The sequence below is a fragment of the Homo sapiens genome, chromosome 16, assembly GCF_000001405.40.
Source record: "Homo sapiens chromosome 16, GRCh38.p14 Primary Assembly".
In the NCBI taxonomy this organism is placed as follows: Eukaryota; Metazoa; Chordata; class Mammalia; order Primates; family Hominidae; genus Homo; species Homo sapiens.
The window spans coordinates 69709401-69733430 of NC_000016.10; the positions used below are offsets into that span (position 1 = coordinate 69709401).

The following is a 24030-nucleotide window of genomic DNA, read 5'->3' on the forward strand; positions in this document are numbered from 1 at the left end:
TGTGGGTCTGTAGAAATGAATTTTATTTATTTAATTCAGATCTTTGAGAAATTTACACAAAATTGCAGTGAAGATGAAGGCAACAAAATATTTTCAAACTGAAACACCCAGCCGTCAGCTATTGTGGATACTGTCGAGAGCAAAAACCACCAGTGCCAGTCAGCATCTGGTAAAGGAGGTTTTCCAGCTCGGTCCAATCCCTTCATTTTCTTGGCAAGTAAGAGGCTGTCTCCCATTTTTCAGGCAACCTTTTCATCATTTCTCATCTCTTCTTTCAATGCACCACAAGAGGGCAGTGTTTTATCATATTCTCCTTGAATTATATAATACCAACAGTGGAATGAGATGACTTCCAGAAGTAGAAATTGACTATTATGCCAAAACTGTTCACCAAAGTTGATAAAACTCTAGGTTTACAATTGTACCCCAAGGTCATGGGACTGGACCCCATCCCATAGTAAGTCATCAGTTTAGCAATGATAAAGAAAATAACCTTCTGAAAATTTGTATAGATCAGAAATAAAGTATTTTTTGTGGAAGACTATTTTTAAGTATTGAAGGTACTATTTCCTTTCTTGAATTCATATTGCAGATGTACGGTGTGGATTTATTGGTTTATCTCTGCAAACCTTAAAGTAGAAGATTGCAAGGGCCAGGTGTGGTGGATCACGCCTGTAATCCCAGCACTTTGGGAGGCTGAGGTAGGCGGATCACCTGAGGTCAGGAGTTTGAGACCAGCCTGGCCAACATGGTGAAACGCCGTCTCTACTAAAAATACAAAAATTAGTCAGGCATGATGGCAGGCGCCTGTCATCCCAGCTACTAGGGAGGCTGAGGCAGGAGAATTGCTGGAACCTGGGAGGCAGAGGTTGCAGTGAGCCGAGATCACACCACTGCACTCCAGCCTGGGTAACAGAGCAAGACTGCTTCAAAAAAAAATTTTTTTTAATTAAAAAAAAAGTAGATGACTGCAGCAAAGAAGAGATTTATTAGCTCTTCCTTTCAAGGTATCTGTGTACTGTATATAAACAACAAAAGCTGACCAAGAGTGGTACTTGTGCTAGGCATATTAGTAACTGCTTTGTAATTGAAAGCAAGAAATATCATAAACAAGCATTAGATGGCTAACTACCAAACAAGTTAAGTCCCTTAGGGCAGGTAGATTCAGTCTTTTCCTTCTCTGAGCAATTCCCTTCTGCCATAAACTACAGAGAGGTGATTAATAGAACATTGGAGAGTTGAATGATACCTAGCCAAACTGTACCCTAAAACTTTAGCCCTAAAAAGAGGAATTAAATTGTGTAGATGCCTTTAAAGAACATTTTTCTAGCATCTTTCTACATCTTTCCCTAAGTGGCCTCTTGAGCCCAGTCGGATTTTGGTTATATGCCATGATAGTAATCATAAGAATCAGTTAAAAATGATCCAAAAATGCACGAATACAGTCGATTCCCTCTCATTTATTCCTTGTGGAAAAAGAAAAACACAAATCTTAAAAACTAAAGCAAGTCAGGGAAGCCTGGAAAGATACCCAGATTTGATAACATGTTAGAAGGAAATCCAGGCTAAGGAATCTCATTTTCTAGCTTTGATCTGGTTGTCAGTTGGGATGGACTTGCCCAAGTGATGGCCCACAGAAAGGCCAAATTTCTTGTTTTTCTCCTCATCCTGTACCTCTTTTTTCATTAAGAATCCTGCCTGGAAGTTTAGGTCAAAGAGGCTGCTTGGAGCAAAATACAGTGGTGTCTCATCCCAAATATTCTCCAGGCGTTTCTTCCATCCTTCCAGGATTTGAATTCGGGCGTCTGCTGGAGTGTGCCCAATGCTATATGTCAGTTGAGGTTCTAAGACTTGGAAGCCACAGAAATGCAGAATGCCACTCTGAGGATACAGAAAGCACAGAGAGGTAAGTCAACCAATTCCATGCAGTTGTACTATAAACAACAGAAGTTGGTCTGGGCTTCTCAGTAAGACACTCTGATAAGGAGGCCTCAGGCACACTAGAGAATCAGTTCAGAGCTAGCGTCTCTCTCTTACCCTCTACCTAGCCGTTACCAATTTTAGCCTTCTCAGGTGTGTTCTTCTTTAAATGCATAAACCTTGAAACTGTGCCAACCTGGATCCTTTGCCAAGAAGGCTGGAAGTTCTGTTACTTTAGGGAGTCTCAGTTTCTTGGCAGGTGACTCACCAAGACCTGCGTGGGTGCATTTCTCTGCCTCTCCATATAACTAGATGAGTCCTTTTTTTCTTTTTCTTTTTTTTTTTTTTTTTGAGGCAGAGTCTCGCTCGGTCGTCCAGGCTGGAGTGCCATGGCACGATCTCGGCTCATTGCGGCTTCCACTTCCTGGGTTCAAGCGGTTCTCCTGCCTCAGCCTCCCGAGTAGCTGGGATTACAGGCATGCGCCACCATGCCCAGATAATTTTTGTATCTTTAGTAGAGACAGGGTTTCACTGTGTTGACCAGGCTGGTCTCGAACTCCTGACCTCAAGTGATCCGCCTGCCTCAGTCTCCCAAAGTGCTGGGATTACAGGCCCAGATGAGTCTTGATAAATGATTTTCATAAGTGGCCACTCACTGGCTCTTCTCTCCAACCTCCCTCTTTATAGAAATTATCTTGAGGGTTTGGTAACACCAATAAGCCCACCCCAGGCTTCAGTTTTATCCATGTATAAACTGGCTGGACTAAATTATTTCCTTTTTCTTCGAAACAGGGTCTCGCCCTGTATCCCAGGCTGGCATGCAGTGGTGTGATCATAGCTCATTGCAGCCTCGAACTCCTGGGTCTCTCACTTTAGACTCCCAAGTAGCTGGGACCACAGGTGTATGACTACACCCAGCTAATTTTGTTTTTTTTTTTTGTAGAGATGAGGTCTTATATGTTGCCCAGGCTGGTCTCAAAGTCCTGGGCTCAAGCGATCCTTCTGCCTCAGCCTCCCAGTAAATCATTTCTTAAATTGTCTTGGGCTCTAATAGTCTATGGGACTGTATCAGCAACCTGGAGAAGGACAGGAAGGCTGGAGAGAGATGTCAGTCATCTGGTGAGACCAGGGCCCACGGCTATACAAATCAAGAGTAGTGATTCACACTAGTCCTTGGCTGGGACAGAATGCTGTTTGAACACATGCACACGCAGGTGTGTTCACACACAGGCACCTGGGAAGGCAGGCAGGTTCTTAAAGGAGGCTCCCATCATTCTGAATTATGACCATGCTTTCATCTTCACAACTCAAGATCTATTTTCAGATGCTATCTTGAGGTTTTGAACCCCACGAAGGCTCAATGAATGAATTCCCCTGAAGGTTCGTTGAAAATGAGGTACCTGGCCAGGTGCAGTGGCTCACGCCTGTAATCACAGCACTTTGGGAGGCTGAGGCAGGAGAATCATTTGAGGTCAAGTGTTTGAAACCAGCCTGGCTAACATGGCAAGACCCCGTCTCTACTAAAAAATACAAAAATTAGCCGAGTGTGGTGGCGGGTGCCTGTCAGTAGGCTGAGGCAGGAGAATTGCTCGAACCCAGCGGGCGGAGCTTGTAGTGAACTAAGATGGTGTCACTGCACTCCAGCCTAGATGACAGAGTGAGACTCCGTCTCAAAGAAAAAAAAGAAAAGAAAAGAAAATGAGGTACCTGAATTGGCCAGAGAATGACATTCATGTCCCCGTGGATCCCTTGCAGAGAGTACATGGAGCCACTGCCACCAGTGGTGATGGAAAGCACTGCCTTCTTACTCTGCAAAAGAAAAAGCAATAACAAACTTCACTTCCCTCCACATCCCCTTGGTGACAAGAAGTTAATGAAACAGCTCCAGGGAAAAGAACACACAAGTCTGTCCTATTTGCTGTTTATATTACTTCATACTTTGGCTCCCCTGAGCTACATAATATGACTCTGCAGGAGTGCCAGCCTAGATGGTCTACAGACCGGTGGCCTGGGGCAAATGAAGGATTCCAAACCCCCACATGTGGCTTAGGACGAGGCTGTCACCATATCCAAAATCAGTGCTGGCTGCTGGCTGCCTAGGTGGAGTTATTGGTTGTTCTTATCCATCCTCCCACGGGCTAGGCATGGCGTAGGACAAGCTCTTTCATCTGGAAGGTCTCGAAGGGTTCCCTGTGCAGGATTTGGGCCTCCAAAAAATGAAGACAGGCCTTCTTTTGTTTTTATTATGGAAATTTTTAACACATGTAAATGAGAAAATAGTGCTGCATCTATCACTCACCTTCACCTCTCAGTATTCTGCTATTCTAGTTTTAGCTCGACCCATGACCCCCTTTTTCTCTGGAGCGTTTTATTTTATTTTATTATTTCATTTTTTTTTTCCTGTGAGACAGAGTCTGGCTCTGTTGCCCAGGCTGGGGTGCAGTAGCACCATCTCAACCAACTGCAAACTGTCTCCCGGGTTCAAGTGATTCTCCTGCCTCAGCCTCCCAAATAGTTGGGATTACAGGTGCCCACCACCACATCCGGCTAATTTTTTTTTTGTTTTTGTTTTTGATATGGAGGCTCGCTCTGTCACCCAGCCTGGAGTGCAGTGGTGCGATCTCGGCTCACTGCAACCTCTGCCTCCCGGGTTCAAGCAACTATCTTGCCTCAGCCTCCCGAGTACCTGGGACTACAGGCACGTGCCACCGCACCCGGCTAAGTTTTTTTGTATTTTTAGTAGAGACGGGGTTTCGCCGTGTTAGGCAGGATAGTCTTGATCTCCTGACCTTGTGATCCGCCTGCCTCGGCCTCCCAAAGTGCTGGGATTACAGGTATGAGCCACCGTGCTTGGCCTTTTATTTTTTAAGATGGAGTCTTGCTTTGTTGCCCAGGCTGGAGTGCAGTGGCGCGATCTTGGCTCACTGTAACCTCCACCTCCTGGGTTTCAAGCAATTCTCCTGGCTCAGCCTCCTGAGTAGCTGGGATTGTAGATGCCCGCCACCACACCCAGCTAATTTTTGTATTTTTGGTAGAGACGGGGTTTCGCCATGTTGGCCAGACTGGTCTCAAACTCCTGACCTCAGGTGATCTGCCTGCCTCGGCCTCCCAAAGTGCTGAAATTACAGGCGTGAGCCACTGCGCCCGGCCTCTGGAGCATTTTAAAACAAATCCCAAACATCATGTCATTCCATCTGTAAAAACTTGATCATGCGTCTCTCCCGAAGGACCTGGAGCCTAGGCTTAGGATCTAATTGTGCTCAAAACCCTGCATCAGAGCCGGGCACAGTGGCTCACACCGGTAATCACAGCACTTTGGGAGGCTGAGGCGGGTAGATCACCTGAGGTCAGGAGTTCAAGACCAGCCTGACCAACATGGAGAAACCCCGTCTCTACTAGAAATACAAAATTAGCCGGGCATGGTGGCATATGCCTGTAATCCCAGCTACTCGGGAGGCTGAGGCAGGAGAATCGCTTGAACTCAGGAGGTGGAGGTTGCAGTGAGCCGAGATCCCGCCACTGCACTCCAGCCTGGGCAACAAGAGGGAAGCTCCATCTCAAACAAACAAACAAACAAACACCCCTGCATCAGGACAGACCACCCAGAAGCTGGCTGTCAGAGCATTCAGAACCATCCACCTACCCGGAAGGGTCCTTTGTCATACATGGCAGCGTAAGTGTAAGCAAACTCTCCTATGAACACTCGCTCAAACCAGCCTTTCAGAATGGCAGGGACTCCAAACCACTGCAGGGGGAACTGTGGGACAGAAGACATCATTGAGGTAAGACCAGGGGCTCCCCAAGCCCAGAAGGTGGCTCGGAGTGCTGAGCCGCTCCCCATGATGGCACTGTGTGGGAAGCCCCTCTTCACACCTTTCCCATTCCTCCTGGGGAGTTAGCACTTTAAGGAAAGAGATCATTATTGTCCTTGGTCAGCCAACTTGACAGTCTTCTTTTTCCCTGAAAATGCAAATATTGAGTGGGTCCGAGTAAAGCTAGATACACAGAAGACTTGTTGATATGAAACTTGTTTGTATGAAATCACATTTGGCAGCAAAGTCTAAATAGCAAGGATTGCAAACAAGGTTTGCTTCATGCTGTTGCTTCAATCAGTATTTTCCCAAGAGTTTGCTTTAGTAGGTGTGGTATCAACAATATGACTGTTGGCCAGGCGCAGTGGCTCAAGCCTGTAATCCCAGCCCTTTGGGAGGCCAAGGCGGGTGGATCACTTGAGGGCATGAGTTTGAGACCAGCCTGGCCAACATGGTGAAACCTCATCTCTACTAAAAATACCAAAATCAACCGGGCGTGGTGGCGCACGCCTGTAGTCCTAGCTACTCGGGCTGTTGAGGCAGGAGAATCACTTGAACCCGGGAGGTGGAGGTTACAGTGAGCCGAGATCGTGCCACTGCACTCCAGCCTGGGTGACAGAGTGAGACCCCATCGTGGAAAAAAATGTAGGCCTTCTTCATTTTATGACTGTCCCTTGTTATCGTGGATGAAAAATCATATCACTTAGAATAAACAAAATCACTCAAAAATGCAAACTAATAATCAGTGTGATGGCTGAGTGTGGTTGCTCATGCCTATAATCCCAGTATTTTGGGAGGCCAAGGTGGGAGGACCACTTGAGCCCAGGAGTTTGAGACCAGCCTGGGCAACAAAGTGAGACTTTGTCTCTACAAAAAAATTTAAAAATTAGCCTGATGTGATGGTGCACATCTCTAGTCCCAGCTATATGAGAGGCTGAGGCAGGAGGATTGCTTGAGCCCAGGAGTTGGAGGCTGCAGGGAGCTGTGATCACCACTGTATTCCAGCCTGGGTGACAGAGCAAGACTCCATCTCTAAATAATAATAATAATAATAATAATAATCATCATCATCATCAACGTGGCTAGGTGCAGTTGCTCATGCCTTTAATTCTAGCACTTTTGGAGGCCAAGGTGGGTGGATCACTTGAGGTCAGGAATTTGAGACCAGCCTGGCCAACATGGGGAAACCCTGTTTCTACTAAAAATACAAAAAGTCAAGCGTGGTGGTGCATGCCTGTAGTCCCAGCTACTTGGGAGGCTGAGGCAGGAAAATGGCTTGAACCCGGGAGGCGGAGGTTGCAGTGAGCCGAGATTGCACCATTGCACTCCAGCCTGGGCAACAGAGCGAGACTCCATCTCAAAAACAAATAAATAAATAAATAAAATGTTAAAAAATAAAAATTATAATAAATAATAATTAGGGTGACTAAGGTTCATCAGGGACTTCCCATGAGAAAGTCTTGTCTGACCTCTTATCCTAATAAAAGCAGAGTAAGGACTATACCAGGAGGTTTTCTTATCCTTGATTCATGATTTAAAGATATGAAAGGCACATGCCTATAATCCCAGCCTTTTGGGAGGTCCAGGCAGGCAGATCACTTGAGCCCAAGAGTTTGAGACCAGCCTGGGCAACATGGTGAGACCCTATTTGTACAAAAAAATTAAAAAATTAGCAGGGCATGGTGGTGTGCACTGATAGTCCCAGCTATTCGGGAGACTGAGGTGGGAGGATCATTTGAGCCCAGGAGGTTGAGGCAGCAGTGAGCAGAGATCATGCCACTGCACTCCATCCTGGGTGACCGTGAGACCTTGTCTCCAATTTAATTTTTTTTTAAAGCCGTCCTTTGGGGTACTGGCTAGTGGCATGTGGCTTTGATTCTTAGCAACAGGCCTGTGGGTAAAATAAAGGACTTCAAGGATTGGATGTTTTGTAGCTGATTGAATAACTAAAAAAAAAAAAGAGAGAGAGAGAGAAAAAAAAAACACAGCCTGTACCACCCTCCTCGTGGTTTCCAGGATCATATACATTCTATGTTCAATATCAAAAGACTGGCTGGAATTGTAAAAGCAAAGTCATTGAGTACAGTCACATTTATAGGAAAGATCACTGACGAGATGCACGCACAATCCCAGCATTGTCTGCTAAACGGTAAGGCAGCTTCCCGAAGAAGAAAGGCCGTGGTTTGCTGCAGGAACACATTCAGCAGGGTTTCAAAGCCCCCTTCAGCTGGCAGGCTACAATGGCAGAGAAGTCAATGTCTCATGGATTATTCTACAAAGTATTTGGGATTCTTATGGAGAAAGGAGGAGAACTGCAAATTTTGAGAGAGTCCAACAGGAATCGCTAACCGCAGGATTCGCTAACTGAAGGAATCGCTAACTGAAGGAATCGCTAACTGAAGGGGAGACTAAGTACCTGGAAGAAAGCAAGCTCAAGGACTGTACATCATCTCTGCAGCTGCATTTCTTTCTTTCTTTTTTTTTTTTTTTTGAGACAGAATCTCGCTCTGTCGCCATGTCACCAGGATGGGGTGCAGTGGCGCAATCTTGGTTCACTTCAACCTCCACCTCCCGGGTTCAAGTGATTCTCCTGCCTCAGCCTCCAGAGTAGCTGGGACTACAGGCACATGCCACCACGCCCAGCTAATTTTTGTACTTTTAGTAAAGACAGGGTTTCACCATGTTGGTCAGGATGGTCTTGGTCTCTTGACCTTGTGATTCACCTGCCTTGGCCTCCCAAAGTGCTGGGATTACAGGCGTGAGCCACCGTGCCTGGCCTTGCAGTTGCATTTACACATGCAACAGTAATACAGCCAGATTCCCAATATCTGTGAAATCCATGTAATACTGCACCTTTAAAGTAATCACCCTTATTTGCAGAGAATGCAGTAAAGTGGGTAACTGTTTAAGATCTCATAGCTAATTAGGTACATGTCTAGGACAATAAGCACGCAAATGTCCCTGACACCCCTTCCGATGTCCCCCCATACCTGGAATATCACAAGGTCTGCGGCTTCCAGCTTCTTTTGTTCAGCCACAATATCTGGGCTCAGATGGCCTTCTTTATAAGCCAGAACAGACTCGGCAGGATACTGAAAGTTCGCAGGGTCCTTCAGTTTACCTGCAGAGAAGAAAAAGAGAGGCTGGGGCCAGAGGGGCCAAAGCTGGGCCAGAGGACCCACAGGCAAGGAGATCCGCAAAGAACTAATTAAAGAGGGGAGGAGGAACTCCTCCTACCTGTGATGTCCTTTCTGGAAATGATGGGATTGAAGTTCATGGCATAGAGGTCCGACTCCACCACCTCCCATCCTTTCTTCTTCAAAGCCGCTGCAGCAGCCTCCTTCATGGCATAGTTGAAGGACGTCCTCTCTGAGTGAGCCAGTACGATCAGTGCTCTTCTGCCTACAGAGACACACACAAAGCACACACGGAAAACCCATTACCAACCAGCAAACCTTCAGCTACAGGGGAGTTGCAGTCTGTAAAGGAGGGGGCGGCTTTGTTTGACATTAGGTTATTGCATTCCATCTCCTGTAGCCAGAAATGTATTTTCCCCTTAAAAGCACTGAAGATTAAAGGAAGCATTTAAATCAGTGGCTGATTTAATAAATAATGTTGACAACTGGGCTCTGTGGCTCATAACTGTAATCCCAGCACTTTGGGAGGCCAAGGTGGGCAGATCACCTGAGGTCAGGAGTTTGAGACCAGCCTGGCCAACATGGTGAAACCCTGTCTCTACTAAAAATACAAAAATTAGCTGGGTGTGGTGGCAGGCACCTGTAATCCCAGCTACTTGGGAGGCTGAGGCAGGAGAATCACTTGAACTCGGGAGGGGGAGGTTGCAGTGAGCCAAGATTGCACCATTGCACTCCAGCCTGGGTGACAATGGGAGACTCCGTCTCAAAAAAAAAAAAAGATGCTCTGCGTGACCTGTCAGGAAAAGCAAAATTAAAATGAGACATTTACCCATTCGTTTACATGGGTACTGTGTTTACATTTACCGTGAGTTTACATTTACCCACAAAATGTAAAACAAATAACACCCAGGGTTATTAAGATTGTACCAACAGAAAAATTGGCACCTTACTGGTGGGGATAAGAACTGCCTCAACCTTTAGGGAAAGTAATGAGGCAGAATCTCTTGAAACTTTAAAGACACATAAATCTTTTATCTCGCTCTCCAATTTGGGGGAATCTGTTCTACAGACTAAAAGCTTCAGGCTATAAGAGCAAAGATGTGTATTACACCATGCTTTTCACTGGCAAAAATTAGATATAACCTGATTGTCTATGGGGAACATTTTAAGAAATTATGGGTACATCCACACTACAGGATATTTTGCTGTTAACAAGAATGAGTTGGCCAGGCACGGTGGTTCGAGCCTGTAATCCCAGCACTTTGGGAGGCTGAGGCGGGCAGGTCACGAGGTCAAGAGATCAAGACCATCCTGGCCAACATGGTGAAACCCTGTCTCTACAAAAATACAAAAATTAGCTGGGTGTGGTAGCGGGCACCTGTAATCCCAGCTATTCGGGAGCCTGAGGCAGGAGAATCGCTTGAACCCAGGAAGCAGAGGTTGCAGTGAGCTGAGATCTTGCCACTGCACTCCAGCCTGGGTGACAGAGTAAGACCCTGTCTCAGAAAAATAAATAAATTAAGATAAAAGTAAAAAATATATAAAAAAGAATGAGTTAAACTGGCTGGGCACAGTGGCTGGAGCCTGTAATCCAGCTACTTGGAAGGCTGAGGCGGCAAGATCCCTTGAGGCCAGGAGATGGAGACCAGCATGGGCAGCATAGTGACACCTTGTCATAAAAAAAAATTTTTAGAGACTGTTGACCAGGTACGGTTGCTCACGCTTCTAATTCCAGCACTTTGGGAGGCCAAGGCGGGAACATTGCTTGAGCCCAGGAGTTCAAGACCAGCCTGGGCAACATGACAAAAGCGAAATCCCTTCTCTACAAAACGTACAAAAATTAGCTGGGCATGGTGGTGTATGCCTGTAGTCCCAACTACTCAGGAGGCTGAGAGATGGAAGGATCACTTGAACCCAGGAGGTTGAGGCTGCAGTGATCCGTGATCGCCGCACTGCACTCCAGCCTGGGTGACAGAGGGAGACCCTGTCTCAAATAAACAAATTTTAAAAATTAAAAAAATTAAAATGAATTAACTATATGTAGTGACTCAAAAAGATATCCATGCTATATTATTAACTGATAAAAAAGCAAGTGAATATGAACCCATTTTTATTTAAAATGAAAGAAGTGAGAGGAAGGGAGAGAGGGAAGGGAAGGAAGAAAAAAGAAAATACAAAAAAAAAAGAAAAAAAGAAATGACATATATTTGTATGTAGACTTGCAGCACCTTGGTATGAGGGGGAAAAATGTGCAGTGATCACATTAAACTTTTTTTTTTTTTTGACAGTCTCACTCTGTTGCCCAGGCTGGAGTGCAGTGGCATGAACTTGGCTCACTGCAACCTCCGCCTCTCAGGTTCAAGCGATTCTCCTGCCTCAGCATCCCCAGTAGCTAGGATTACAGGTGTGAGCCACCGTGCCAGGCCAATCACATTGAACTATTAACAGCTCAGCTTCCTTTATAAGAAATGGCAAAGAGGTACAGGTAGAAGGGAAATGGGCCTCTTTTATATTAACAAGGTTGTCAGAGGCAGCATGCTTCAATTTGCAAGAACAGTATTTAGTGGATCCTTAGTGCTAGGCACTGCCCTAAGTGCTTTGCATTCCTTTTTTTTCTTTTTCTCTTTCTGAGACAGGGTCTCGATCTGTTGCCCAGGCTGGAATGCAGTGGCATGATCTCAGGTCACTGCAGCCTTGACCTCTCAGGCTCAAGCTATCCTCCCACCTCAGCCTCCTGAGTAGCTGATACTACAGGTGTGCACCACCACACCTAATTTTTTTTTTTTTTTTGTAGAGACAGGGATTTGCCATGTTGCCCAGGCTGGTCAAATTTGGAGCCGTGTTGCCCAGGCTGGGGCAATTTTGCCTGCCTCAGCCTCCTACAATGTTGGGATTATAGGTGTGAGCAACCACGCCCGGCCTGCACTTTCTTCCTTTGTCAGGACAACCTGCTATGTTTTAAACGTGTCCCCCTCCAAAATTCAGGTGCTGCCAATGTGAGAGGATTAACAGATGGGGCCTGTGATAGGTGATTAGGCGAGGGGGTCTCCTTCCTCATGAGTGGGATTAAGGCCCTCATAAAAGAGGCTTCGCCCAGCACGGGGCTCACCTGCCCTTCCACCTTCTACCTCCCACCGTCTATGTAAGGACGCAGCATTCCTCCAAATGCAGCTCTCACCAGACAGCCAAACCTGCCAGCACCTTGATCTTCGACTTCCCAGCTTCCAGAACTGTGAGAAATCAATTTCTCTTTTTTATTAACTACCTAGTCCCAAGTATTATGTATGGCAGCACAAAATAGACTGAGACACACCCTATGAGGTCAATACCATGAGTAGCCCCATGTTACAGATGAGAAAACTGAGGCACAGGAGAGAAGCAAGTTACCCAAGTGTGTAGTCATTAAGTGGTGAAGCTGGAATAATTTAAAAACACAGAGAGTGGCTGGGCGTGGTGGCTCACACCTGTAATCCCAGCACTTTGGGAAGCCGAGGCAGGCAGCTTGCTTGAGCCCAGGAGTTTGAGACCAGCCTGGCTAACATGGAGAAACCCCGTTTCTACCAAAAAAAAAAAAAAAAAAAAAATTAGCTGAGCGTAGTGGTGTGTGCCTGTAGTCCCAGCTACTTAGGAAGCTGAGGTGGGAAGATCATTTGAGCCAGGGAGGTGGAGGTTGCAGTGAGCCGTGATCACACCACTGTACTCCAGCCTGGGCGACAGTGAGACTTACAAACAGTGAGAAATACAAACAACAGCGTACAAGGGCATAGAGCGAATTGCCAGAGAAAGGACGCTTACCCCCACAGTTGCTCCTGATAATGTGCGCTGCTACTTCATACCCTACCATGAACAGTGGGTGGAGCTGGGAGAGAAGGCATCTGCAACTTTTTTGGCAGGGTGGGGGTGGGGGCGGGGGAGATGGAGTCTTGCTCTGTCACCCAGGCTGGAGTGCAGTGGCGCCATCTCGGCTTACAGCAACTTCTGCCTCCCGGGTTCAAGCGATTCTCCTTCCTCAGCCTCCGAATAGCTGGGATTACAGGCGCGTGCCACCACGCCCGGCTAATTTTTTGTATTTTTTGTTTTAGTAGAGACACCATGTTAGCCAGGATGGTCTCGATGTCCTAACCTCATGACCCACCTGCCTTGGCCTCCCAAAGTGCTGGGATTACAGGCGTGAGCCACCGCGCCCAGCCGGCATCTGCAACTTTTTTGCACCATCTGAATAACTAGAAATAACTAAAATAACTAGAAAGGCACATTTAAACCTTAAGCTCTCTTCCTGCTTTTATTATTGACCACATCTAGCAAGGCAAGTGCCTCTTGGGCTAAATTCAGCGAAGTGTAACTTTCAGGGCCCAATATGCCAAACCAGGGGATTTCCAAACTTGGTCCTAGGGTTTTGGACTCTTAAAACTAAGACTCAGTGGAATAGGTGTCTGGTGATGATTTCAATGCGCTGGAAGTGATTGACTTGCTTGGGATAGCTTGGAAAAAGGAAAAGGAAGCTCTGAGGCTGCCTCAACAAATTCCTACCTCTTTAACCCATGGATTTAACATGATTGGGAGGGAAGTGAGCATATTCAGCTCTAACAGGCATTTTCTTTGTAACTTACCTTGCCATTAGTCTTATCAATGTTTACTGATCGCCGCTCTGACAGTTTTTGTTTGTTTGTTTTTTTGAGACAGAGTTTCGCTCTGTCGCCCAGGCTGGAGTGCAGTGGCGCGATCTCGGCTCACTGCAAGCTCCGCCTCCCAGGTTCACGCCATTCTCCTGCCTCAGCCTCCAGAGTAGCTGGGATTACAGGCGCTCGCCGCCACGCCCGGCTAATTGTATTTTTAGTAGAGACGGGGTTTCACCGTGTTAGCCAGGATGGTCTCGATTTCCTGACCTCGTGATCCGCCTGTCTCGGCCTCCCAAACTGCTGGGATTACAGGCGTGAGCCACAGCGCCCAGCCAACAGTTTTTATTTTATTGACTTCTCATCAATGTTAACAAGCATTTTCTAAGTAGTAAGACAGTCAAGGCACTTCTCAGAAAATGAGCAAATCAGGATATCCATCTCTTGCTCTTTCAAGGAGCTCAGACTCTAATAGCTATAAGCAGGCCTGTGACTTTACAATTTTTCATGTAAGGCAACACACAAGCAGGAATAATATATTTGCAACAAATATAACCATCAAAGTGCAGTACCTGGAATAGGTAGATCCCCAAAACAACTCAAAAGAAAAATGATCAAAAGAAGGTTGTGGGTGGGTCGCGGTGGCTCACACCTGTAATCTCAGCACTTTGGGAGGCTGAGGCGGGCAGATCACCTCATGTCAGGAGTTAGAGACCAGCCTGGTTAACATGGTGAAACCCCGTCTCTACTAAAAATACAAAAAAAAATTAACCAGGTGTAGTGGCAGGTGCCTGTAATCCCAGCTAATCGGGAGGCTGAGGCAGGAGAATTGCTTGAATCCAGGAGGCGGAGGTTGCAATGAGCCGAGATCGCACCATTGCACTCCAGCCTGCGCAACAGAGCAAGCCTCTGTCTCAAACAAACAAACAAAAAGATGCTTGTGAATAGGCAATTTAAAAGTTTTCTGGGCCCTGGAGGGTTCATTTTCCCTTCCTGCCACTTAACTAGCTGAGCAACATGACCTGGGAGGAGTTAGACTATTAGAGTTTACCCTGAGAGAGGCCACAAGATGCACACACGGATAACCTCTTCAGGGTACAATGGCATTAGTGTGTTAGGAGAGGTAAGGGACAAAGTTCAACAGAAGGCTGGGTGTGGTGGCTCATGCCTGTAATCGTAGCACTTTGGGAGACCGAGGCGGGTGGATTACTTGAGGTCAGGAGCTAGAGACCAGCCTGGCCAACATGGTGAAACCCCGTCTCTACTAAAAATACACAATTAGCTGGGCGTGGTGGTGGGCGCCTGTAATCCCAGCTACTTGGGAGGCTGCAGCACAAGAATCGTTTGAACCTGGGAAGTGGAGATTGCAATGAGCCAAGATCACGCCACTGCACTACAGCCTGGGCAACAGAGTGAGTGAGACTCCATCTCAAAAAGTTCAACAGAGGAAAACTTCAGGACCTCAGGGCTGGCCCATTCGGAAAGGCCCTCAGAGGAGCTTGCCATTTGAGCTGAATCTTGGTCTTGAACTCCTGGCCTCAAGCAGTCCTCCCGCCTCAGCCTCCCAAAAGTGCTGGGATTACAGGAATGAGCCACCACTCCCAGCCAAAATTTTTTTTTTTTTTAATTAGCTGGGTTTCAAGTTCTTCTGCTCTGACCAAAAAAAATTAGCTGGGTGTGGTGGCACACACCTGTAGTCCCAGCTACTCGGGGGCAAAGATGGGACAATCACTTGAGCCCAGGAGGTCAAGGCTGAAGTGAGCCCTGATCATGCCACTGCACTCCAGCCTGGGCAACAAAGCAAGACCCTGTCTCAAAAAGAAAAAAAGAAGTATGATAAAGATAAGCCTTTGTATCAGTTTCATGCATTCTCCTTCTGCCTTCTCTTCTCACTTGAGTGCTCCAGGGAACATGAGTGCAAATCAGATGCATCTATTAGTTGCAAACAAAAAACCTGGATGCTTTAGTTAACCTCAAGATTTGGTTAGCTGGGTACAGCTAAAACTAATTATACAAGATCCAAGTCTTCCCTTTTCACCTCATTACCACCGCCCTTTTTTGTGTTTAAGCTACACGTAAATACAGAACATTCTGTAAGATTGAAAAGTCAGGAAATAGTTCCTGCCCTAGTATTGGAGGAGAGGGTGCCAGTGCCTCGACGCTGAAGAATGAAATACAAGGGAAACAGCAACCACCGTGTATGCGGCAAGCCTCTCAGCTGTCAGAATCTATTCCCTGCTGTCTCTGCCAGTAACTCATGCTGGGCTACCAATCCCCAGCTTAGTCCCTTTCTCAGAGATCCTGATAATTTCAGTTTGTCAACTGCAAGGGCAGTCTGTTCCTCCACTCACTTTGACCAAGATGGGCTTCTTTGTGTACAGGCGCATTTTTAGAGGCAGGACCAGGTCCACAGGGAAGGAAATTACAAAACACAGGATTCTGCCCCAGATGAGGCAACAGCTTTCTAAATCTTAGTACTGTCCAATCTCAGAGTGAGATTATTTGGGAAACAGCTCTCAATCCCTGCAGTTGTCTCAGCTGGTTATTTATGCCTTGGGTGGAGCTGGGGTGACCTCTGAGTTCCCCTAGGGTCGATGGCCGAGTGGGAAGGCTCTATCACTGAAGTGGACCCAATACTAGAAACGGATCCAGTACGATCTGATCAGGTTTGCCTAATCCAAGGGCCTCAATGGAAAATGCCTCCCAAGGCCAGGCACGGTGGCTCACGTCAGTAATCTCAGCACTTGGGGAGGCTGAGGTGGGTGGATCACCTGAGGTCAGGAGTTCAAGACCGCGCTGGCCAACTTGGCGAAACCCGTCTGTACTAAAAATATAAAAATTAGCCGCGCATGATGGCGCACTCCTGTAATCCCAGCTACTCGGGAGGCTGAGATGGGAGAATCGCTTGAACCCGGGAGGCGGAAGTTTCGCTGAGCTGAGATAGCGCCATTGCACTACAGCCTGGGCGACAAGAGCAAAACTCCGTCTCAAACAAAACAAAACAAAACAAAACAAAACAAAACCTGTGCCTGGCAGCCTGGAGCCGGTTCTGGTCTCCGTCAAACCAAAGGCATCAGTTTCCTCCACTCCTGTCCACCAATCGCCAGATATTCTCATTTTCTTCAGAAGCTCGGAATCCACATTTTTAAGTGAAATCACCCATTTTAATGTTAGCAACTTATTTCAAAGTGTTTTAGATACTATAGACCAAAAGAGGTATGGGCTGTGACCGTAAGCCTGATTTGGCCTCTGACGGCCAGTTTCTGACCACAGTTTTGGAGGGAATTTCTGCTTCCAAGGTCAAGTTTCTCCTAAATGCCCACTAGAGTTCGTGGGGTGGAGTGAGGAAGGATCCGCGACACCGGATACAAACAGAAGCTCTCCTTCTCCCGGAGTCCGATCAAGGCTCATCCCAGGTCCCTAATCTCTTCCCTTTGTGGGTTTTGAGTCAAGGAACAAAATTCAGGGCCAAGCCCCTACAACCTCCTCCACAGGCACCAGTGCTCGAGAGACGACCGCCAAGCACCCCGCCCTTTGCAGCACTCACCGACCATGGCTCTGGTGCAGTCCGGGGCGCTGATTGGCTGGGCTCGTGGTTGCCGGGGCGACCCTGGCCGGAACTAGGCTCTCGGTGAGCTGGGCGGCTCCGGCTGCAACCTTGTGGGAGTCGCGTGTGTAGTGCACGGTGCATTCTCTCTTATATATCCTGTCCGGCCCGTTTGAGGTGGACAGCCTACAAGGGCGGGACCCAACGCCTGAATCCTGGGGTGCTGGGCGGAGGATGCTGAGGCTGCAGCTCCAGGAAGGGAGGGAGCCTGGGGGATGAAGGAGGGGCCTCTCCACTCTCACCCGCCGGAGCAACTGGTGGAAGTCAAGAAAAGTCTCTCGGGGCTGGGGGAGGGGATTGTAGGGGTGTGTGTGACAGAGGCCTCAAAAATCTGGCTGGGGGTGCTAAGGCAAGCCCATCTGCGCACTGTGCCCTGAGGTGCAAGAGGATGCAGGGTGGAAGTCGTCCCAAGAGAGTCCAGGGATCAAGTGGGCATGCCCTTTTAGCCTTGGCACGAAATGGAGCAGAAAAAGAGCCGGATGCGGATTACTGTGGTGCCCTAGGCTCAGATTCTGCTGAGTCACTGTGACTGCGGATTTGGAAGGCTGAGAGTCCTGGGGAGACATGCTCCGTGGAGACGAATTTGTTTCTTCCTTTGCAAGATTCAGATTCTGCACTTGGGGGCCCATACAACACACTTCCCTGGGTGCATGCCACTGCACCACCCCTGCTCCTCAAGGCAGGTAATGGGGGAACTAATTGGTTTTGTTTCCCATGAGCTAAGGCAAGGCTGGTGTGGAGATAGCAGTTATAGGGAAGCATATTAAAGAATAGCCAAAACGGGACCAGGCGCGGTGGCTCACGCCTGTAATCCCAGCAATATGGGAGGCCGAGGTGGGTGGATCACCTGAGGTCAGGAGTTCGAGACCAGCCTGGCCAACCTGGTGAAGCCCCGTCTGTACTGAAAAATTAGCTGGGCGTGATGGCGGGCGCCTGTAAGTCCCAGCTACTCGGGAGGCTGAGGCAGGAGAATCGCTTGAACCCGGAAGGCGGAGGTTGCAGTGGGTCGAGATCGTGCCACTGCACTCCCGCCTGGGTGACGAAGTGAGACTCCGTCTCAAAAAAAACTCTATAAAGTAAAAGTTACTGTAAAGAAGGAGATATACTCTCAGTAGGTGAAGGAAAAAGAACTAGAGCTTTAAAGTGGTAATTAACCATCAGAAGAATCACAGATGGGGGAGGTGAGGATGACACAGGGCCCTTCCGTTGTCCCTCCAGTGCAAAAGTTAAGGAGGCACCAGAAAACTGGTTTCCAACTCCCGACCTCAGGTGATCCTACCGCCTCGGCCTCCCGAAGTGCTGGGATTACAGGCATGAGCCACCGCGCCCGGCCCCATCGTGACATTTTTGCATTCATTTTGATGCAACAAGAGAGGACTATATTATTTACACGTATTTACAAATTACTTTGGGAGGCTGAGGCAGGAGGATCACTTGAGCCCAAGAGTTTGAGAAAAGCCTGAGCAACAAAGTGAGACCCCATCTGACAAAATAGTATAAAAGGACGTTTTAAAAAAGGGCTAGGTAGGCAGCCCTGTCCAATAGAACTTTCCCTATCTGTGCTGCCCAAGTAAGGTAGCCACAAGCTTCAAGTAGCTATTGAGCACTGGAAATGTGGCCAGCAGCCAGGCGTGGTGGCAGGCGCCTGTGTCCCAGCTACTCAGGATCTGAGGCAAAAAGATCGCTTGAGCCCAGGAATTCAAGGCCGCAGTGGTGGACTCAATAAAAGAAAAAAAATGGAAATTAAAAAAAAAAAAGTGGCCAGTGGACTGAGGAAGTGAAGTTTTAATTGTAATTAAATTAATTTTTTAAAAATTTATTTTTTGAGGCGGGGTTTCACTGTGTCGCCCAGGCTGGAGTGCAGTGGCAGGATCTTGGCTCACTGCAATCTCCATCTCCTGGGTTTAAGCAATTCTTGTGCCTCAGCTTCCTGAGTAGCTAGGACTACGGGCATGCACCACCACAGTCAGCCACTTTTTGTATTATTCGTAGAGATGAGTTTCACCATGTTAGCCAGGCTGGTCTCAAACTCCTGACCTCAGGTGATCTGCCCACCTCGGCCTCCCAAAGTGCTAGGATTACAGGCATGTGCCACTGCGCCTGGCTTTAATTAAATTTAGATAGCCACATGTCACTAGTGTTTGGAAAGACCTGAGCTGGTTCAGATCGAGGCCGCAGTGTGCTGGCTATTCTATCTCTCACTCTTCTAGTGAGATTGTTTTCTCAATCACCAGTCTCCCTGACCCATCCAGAGGTGGGGCTCAAAGCCACAAAGCTCAAGTGTCGTGTTCGGTCGTTGGTTTCCAGCATGGCCAGTTCCCATCCTCAGTCATCTTGTTAACATGAACTATATAGGGGCCCATCCCAAGTCATCTCATTAGCATAAACCATCAGGAGTGGTCTGAGAAGCCCACAATGAATAAGATGGACACTCCTATCATTTGGGATTTAGGGGCTCAGGGGCATGATGATAGTTCACTGCAGCCTCGACCTTCTGGAGTCAAGCAATCCTCCTGCCCCAGCCTCCTGAGTAGCTGAGATGACAGGTGCATGCCACCGTGCCTGGCTAATTTTTTTTTATTTTTTTGGTAGAGATAGGGTCTCACTATGTTGCCCAAGCTGGTCTCAAACTCCTGGGCTCATGTGATCCTCCCGCTTTGATCTCCCAAAGTGCTGGAGTTACAGGTATGTGCCACCACTCCTGGCCAAATTTGTTACTACACAGTGGTAAAGACAGACATTTGAGGTGGCAGTGAACCAAGATCATGCCACTGCACTCCAGCCTGGGCAACAGAGGGAGATCCTGTCTCAAAAGAAAAAAAGAAACTTACTGGCCGGGCACAGTGGCTCAGGCCTGTAATCCCAGCACTTTGGGAGACTGAAGCGGGTGGATCACTTGAGCTCAGGAATTGGAGACCAGCCTGGCCAATGTGGTGAAACCCCGTCTCCACTAAAAATACAAAAACATGAGCTGGGTGTGGTGGTGGGCGCCTCCAGTCCCAGCTACTCGGGAGGCTGAGGCACGAGAATCGCTTGAATTCAGGAGGCAGAGGTTGCAGTGAGCTGAGATTGTGCCACTGCACTCCAGCCTGGGCAACAAGAGCGAGACTCCATCTCAAGAAAAAAAGAAAAAGAAAAAGCTGCTGTGGAGCATGGGCGAGCACTGCTGCCTGGACAAAGACCGAGGGTCCTCGGGAGGGCAGTACTGATGTACAGGTTTCCAGCAGGTCGGCGTGTGTGTTCTCTCCTGCAGGTCTGCAGCCAGGCGTGCCAGGAGAGGGGGAGTCTGAGGGATTGATGTAGGTTGGGAAAGCATGATGAGAGGAGACAGAGTGGGGGCTGTGAAGAAGAGAGCGACTTGATGGTGGCGGTAGTTACACAGATGTATGTATTTATTAAAATCCGCTGAAAAGTACATTTTAAATACAAGCATTTTATTGTATGCATGTTATTCCTCAACAAAGTCCATTTTTAAAAAGTAGAGTGGTTGGAGTGATGACGAACATTATGAAAGGGCTTATTGGCAGAGAAAAAGTAGAGGGGTCCAGAGACTCAAGTTCCTAACGAGGCTGAAGTAAGAGTGGGGGATTAAATAAGGGCAAAAACTGAGAGAATAAAAAAAGTGGGTTGTTTGGGGCCAGGTGCGGTGGCTTATACCTGTAATCCCAGCACTTTGGGAGGCCAAGGCAGGGGGATCGCTTGAGCCCAGGAGTTCAAGACCAGCCTGGGCAACATAGTGAGACCCCCCCGCAACCCCCCCCACCTCTGCCATCTCTAAAAAAATTAAAAATTAGCTAGGTGTGGTGGTGTGCACCTGTGGATCCAGCTACTAAGGAGGCTGAGATGGGTGGATCATCTGAGCCTGGGAAGTCGACGCTATAGTGAGCTGTGACTGTACCACTGCACTCCAACCTAGGCAGCACAGTGACACCCTATCTAAAAACAAAAAGAAAAAACAAAAACCCAAGTGGGTTGATTGGGAAACACAGGAGATAGAAGTTAAAATCATGGGGAAACATCAGTCAAATCACAGTGTGGGACATTCTACAGGACAACCAACCTGGTTTATCCCATAATTCAGTGCTATAAGAAAAATGAAGGAGTGTATATTGATCAGGATTTTCCAGAGAAACAGAACCAATTGAATTTCTATAAATATATAAAAAGCAATATATTGCTGGGTGCAGGGCTCACACCTTGTGATGGTTAATAATGAGTGTCAACTTGATTGGATTGAAGGATGCAAAGTATTGATCCTGGGTGTGTCTGTGAGGGCGTTACCAAAGGAGGTGAACATTTGAGTCAGTGGGACTGGGAAGGGCGGACCCATCCTCAATCTGGGTGGGCACCAACTAATCAGCTGCCAGTGCGGCCAGAATATAAAGCAGGCAGAAAAACGTGAAAAGACTAGACTAGGCCTGGTGCCGTGGCTCACGCCTGTAATCCCAGCACTTTGGGAGGCCGAGACGGGTGGATCACTTGAAGTCAGGAGTTCAAGACCAGCCTGGCCAATATGGCAAAACTCATCTCTGCTAAAAATACAAAAAAATTTAGCTGGGTGTTGTGGTGCATGCCTATAATGCCAGCTACTCAGGAGGCTGAGGCAGGAGAATAGCTTGAACCCAGGAAGCAGAGGTTGCGGTGAGCCGAGATCACACCGCTGTACTCCAACCTGGGTGACAGAGACTCACCTCACCAAAAAAAAAAAAAAAAATAAGTGGGGCTAGACTGGCCTAGCCTCCCAGTCTACATCTTTCTTCTGTGCTGGATGTTTCCTGCCCTCCAACATCAGACTCCAAGTTCTTCAGCTTTGGGACTCGGACTGGCTTCCTTGCTCCTCAGCTTACAGATGGCCTATTGTGGGGCCTTGTGATTGTGTGAGTTAATACTACATATGTCTATCTTATTACTTCTGTCCCTCTACAGAAACCTGACTAATACACACCTGTAATCCCAGCACTTTGGGAGGGCAAGGCAGGCGGATCCCTTGAGGCCAGAAATTTGAGACCAGCCTGGGCAACACAGCAAGACCCCATCTCTACAAAACATAATTTTAAATAAAATTAGGCCCGTGTGGTATTATGCGTCTGTAGTCCCCCTCACTTGGGAGGCTGAGGTGGGAGGATTGCTTGAGCCCAGACAGTGAAGGCTGCAGTGAGCCAAAGATCTCACCATCGCACCCCAGTTTGGGTGGCAGAGTGAGATCCTGCCTCAAAGAAAAAAAAAAACAAACAGGTGTGGTGGCTCACACCTGTAATTCCAACACTTTGGGAGGCTGGGGCGGGCAGATCACTTGAGGTCAGGAGTTTGAGACCAGCCTGGCCAATATGGCAAAACTCCATCTCTACTAAAAATATGAAAATTAGCTGGGCGTGGTGGCATGTGCCTGTGATCCCAGCACTTTGGGAGGCCCAGGCGGGCAGATCACGAGGTCAGGAGTTCAAGACCAGCCTGGCCAACATGGTGAAACCCCGTCTCTATTAAAAATACAAAAATTAGCCAGGTGTGATGGTACATGCCTATAGGCCCAGCTACTCGGCAGGAGGAGAATTGCTTGAACCCTGGAGACAGAGGTTGCAGCAAGCCGAGATCACACCACTGCACTCCAGCCTGGGCAACAGAGGGAGACTCCATCTCAAAAAAAAAAAAAAAAGCTGTATTTTATGAGGGATTGGCTCATTTGATTCTGGAGGCTGGGAAGTCACACAATCTGCTGTCTGTAAGCAGGAGGCTGGGGAAAGCTGGTGGTGTGGTTTTGGTCCAAACTCAAGAGTGAGAACCAGGGGAGCCAGCGTTGCAAGTGCCACTCCCAGTCCAAAGGCCCAAGAACCAGGAACAGCAGTGCCCGAGAGCAAGAGAAGATGATGTCCCACCTCAAGAAAAGAGTAAGCAAATCTACCCGGCCTCCTCCTCTCTATTGTACTCGGGCCTTTGGTGGCGTGGATGATGCCTGCCCACCTTGGTGAGGGCAATTTTCCTTAATGCAGCCTGCCGATCCAAATGCTCATCTCTCTCCCAGAAACGCCCTCCCAGACACACCTAGAAACAATGTTCCACCAGCTATCTGAGCATTCCTTGCCCAGTCAAGCTGACATGTAAAATTAACCATCAGTTAATTGTGTTAAAGAATGTAAGAGATTTAACAAGATAAAACAAGCAAATGTCATATGCAGACATTGTTTGGATCTTGATTCAAACAAACATCTATAAAAAGACATCTTTGGACGGGTGCAGTGGCTCACACCTGTCATCCCAGCACTTTGCGAGGCAGAGATGGGCGGATCACCTGAGGTGAGGAGTTTGACACCAGCCTAGACAACATGATGAAACCCCGTCTCTACTAAAAGTACAAAAATTAGCCAGGTGTGGTGGTGCACACCTGTAATCCCAGCTACTGAGGAGGCAGAGACACAAGAATCCCTTGAACCTGGGAGGTGGAGGTTGCAGTGAGCCGAGATTGTGCCGCTGCGCTCCAGCCTGGGTGACAGAACAAGATTCTGTCTCAAAAAAAAAAAAAAAAAAAAAATCTTTGAGAAAATCAGAGAACAGATATTAGATGATATTTAGTTAGGTATGATAGTTTTTTTTTTTTTTTGAAGTCAGGTATCAATTAAACATGCATATTGAAGTGTCTAGAGGTAAAATGAAATTATGTCATGCCTTTGCCTTAAACTATTTCAAAAACAACCGATTGGCAAAATGTTTCTGAGTATTGAAACAAAATGTATGGTACATGGGCATTCATTATTTTATTCTTAATTCCATGAATATTTAAATTTTTCCAGTATAAAAAGTTTTACAGTGGTGGTGTGCTCTTGTATTCCCAACTACCTGGGAGGGTGAAGTGAGAGATCTCTTTAGCCCAAGAGTTCGAGGCCAGCCTGGGCAACATAGTGAGACACTGTCTCTTAAAAACAACAACAACAAAACATTTTACA

The 24030-nt window shown here is 47.5% G+C and overlaps 1 protein-coding gene and 2 long non-coding RNA genes across 6 annotated transcripts in view, besides 6 other annotated features; 2 read left to right on the forward strand and 1 right to left on the reverse strand.

The window, feature by feature from the left end:
* NQO1 (NAD(P)H quinone dehydrogenase 1) lies at positions 1 to 17160 on the reverse strand. Of its 4 annotated transcripts, NM_000903.3 has the most exons (6): positions 17033 to 17160; positions 8970 to 9134; positions 8723 to 8853; positions 5564 to 5677; positions 3628 to 3729; positions 1 to 1881 (listed from the first exon to the last, which is right to left on the reverse strand). In NM_000903.3, exons 1-6 carry the CDS (start codon positions 17037 to 17039, stop codon positions 1576 to 1578), a joined length of 825 nt encoding a protein of 274 aa, NP_000894.1. In that variant the 5' UTR covers positions 17040 to 17160; the 3' UTR covers positions 1 to 1575. The 4 variants fall into 4 exon arrangements, with proteins under 4 accessions (NP_000894.1, NP_001020605.1, NP_001020604.1 ...); NM_001025434.2 differs by lacking the exon at positions 5564 to 5677; NM_001025433.2 differs by lacking the exon at positions 3628 to 3729.
* On the forward strand, positions 474 to 1183 carry NQO1-AS1 (NQO1 antisense RNA 1). Its single transcript, NR_198990.1, has 2 exons — positions 474 to 701; positions 837 to 1183. It is a non-coding gene; the product is annotated as an NQO1 antisense RNA 1 (long non-coding RNA).
* Positions 10248 to 10429: a silencer, noted in NCBI's record as "fragment chr16:69753551-69753732 (GRCh37/hg19 assembly coordinates)". NCBI's record gives its function as "represses an EF-1alpha promoter that drives an FKBP-Casp9 reporter gene in an ReSE screen in K562 erythroleukemia cells {active_cell/tissue: K562}" and the evidence as "EXISTENCE:reporter gene assay evidence [ECO:0000049][PMID:32094911]".
* Positions 16643 to 17635: an enhancer, noted in NCBI's record as "NANOG-H3K27ac-H3K4me1 hESC enhancer chr16:69759946-69760938 (GRCh37/hg19 assembly coordinates)". NCBI's record gives its function as "activates a minimal SCP1, AML or CMV promoter by ChIP-STARR-seq in naive and primed H9 embryonic stem cells {active_cell/tissue: H9 hESC(naive and primed)}" and the evidence as "EXISTENCE:reporter gene assay evidence [ECO:0000049][PMID:30033119]".
* Positions 16643 to 18629: a biological region, named in NCBI's record as "BRD4-independent group 4 enhancer GRCh37_chr16:69760025-69761224".
* Positions 16722 to 17921: an enhancer, noted in NCBI's record as "BRD4-independent group 4 enhancer chr16:69760025-69761224 (GRCh37/hg19 assembly coordinates)". NCBI's record gives its function as "activates an origin of replication core promoter dependent on BRD2, P300/CBP, MED14 and CDK7 cofactors, and independent of BRD4, by STARR-seq in HCT116 cells {active_cell/tissue: HCT116}" and the evidence as "EXISTENCE:reporter gene assay evidence [ECO:0000049][PMID:35650434]".
* Positions 17168 to 17427: an enhancer, noted in NCBI's record as "active region_11044". NCBI's record gives its function as "activates an Ori minimal core promoter by ATAC-STARR-seq in GM12878 lymphoblastoid cells {active_cell/tissue: GM12878}" and the evidence as "EXISTENCE:reporter gene assay evidence [ECO:0000049][PMID:35858748]".
* NQO1-DT (NQO1 divergent transcript) overlaps positions 17327 to 24030 on the forward strand; it is a 17192-nt gene continuing 10488 nt past the window's right edge. Inside the window, exon 1 of the long non-coding RNA NR_186363.1 lies at positions 17327 to 17775. This is a non-coding gene — a long non-coding RNA (NQO1 divergent transcript). The remainder of the gene's footprint in view (positions 17776 to 24030) is intronic.
* Positions 17636 to 18629: an enhancer, noted in NCBI's record as "NANOG-H3K27ac-H3K4me1 hESC enhancer chr16:69760939-69761932 (GRCh37/hg19 assembly coordinates)". NCBI's record gives its function as "activates a minimal SCP1, AML or CMV promoter by ChIP-STARR-seq in naive and primed H9 embryonic stem cells {active_cell/tissue: H9 hESC(naive and primed)}" and the evidence as "EXISTENCE:reporter gene assay evidence [ECO:0000049][PMID:30033119]".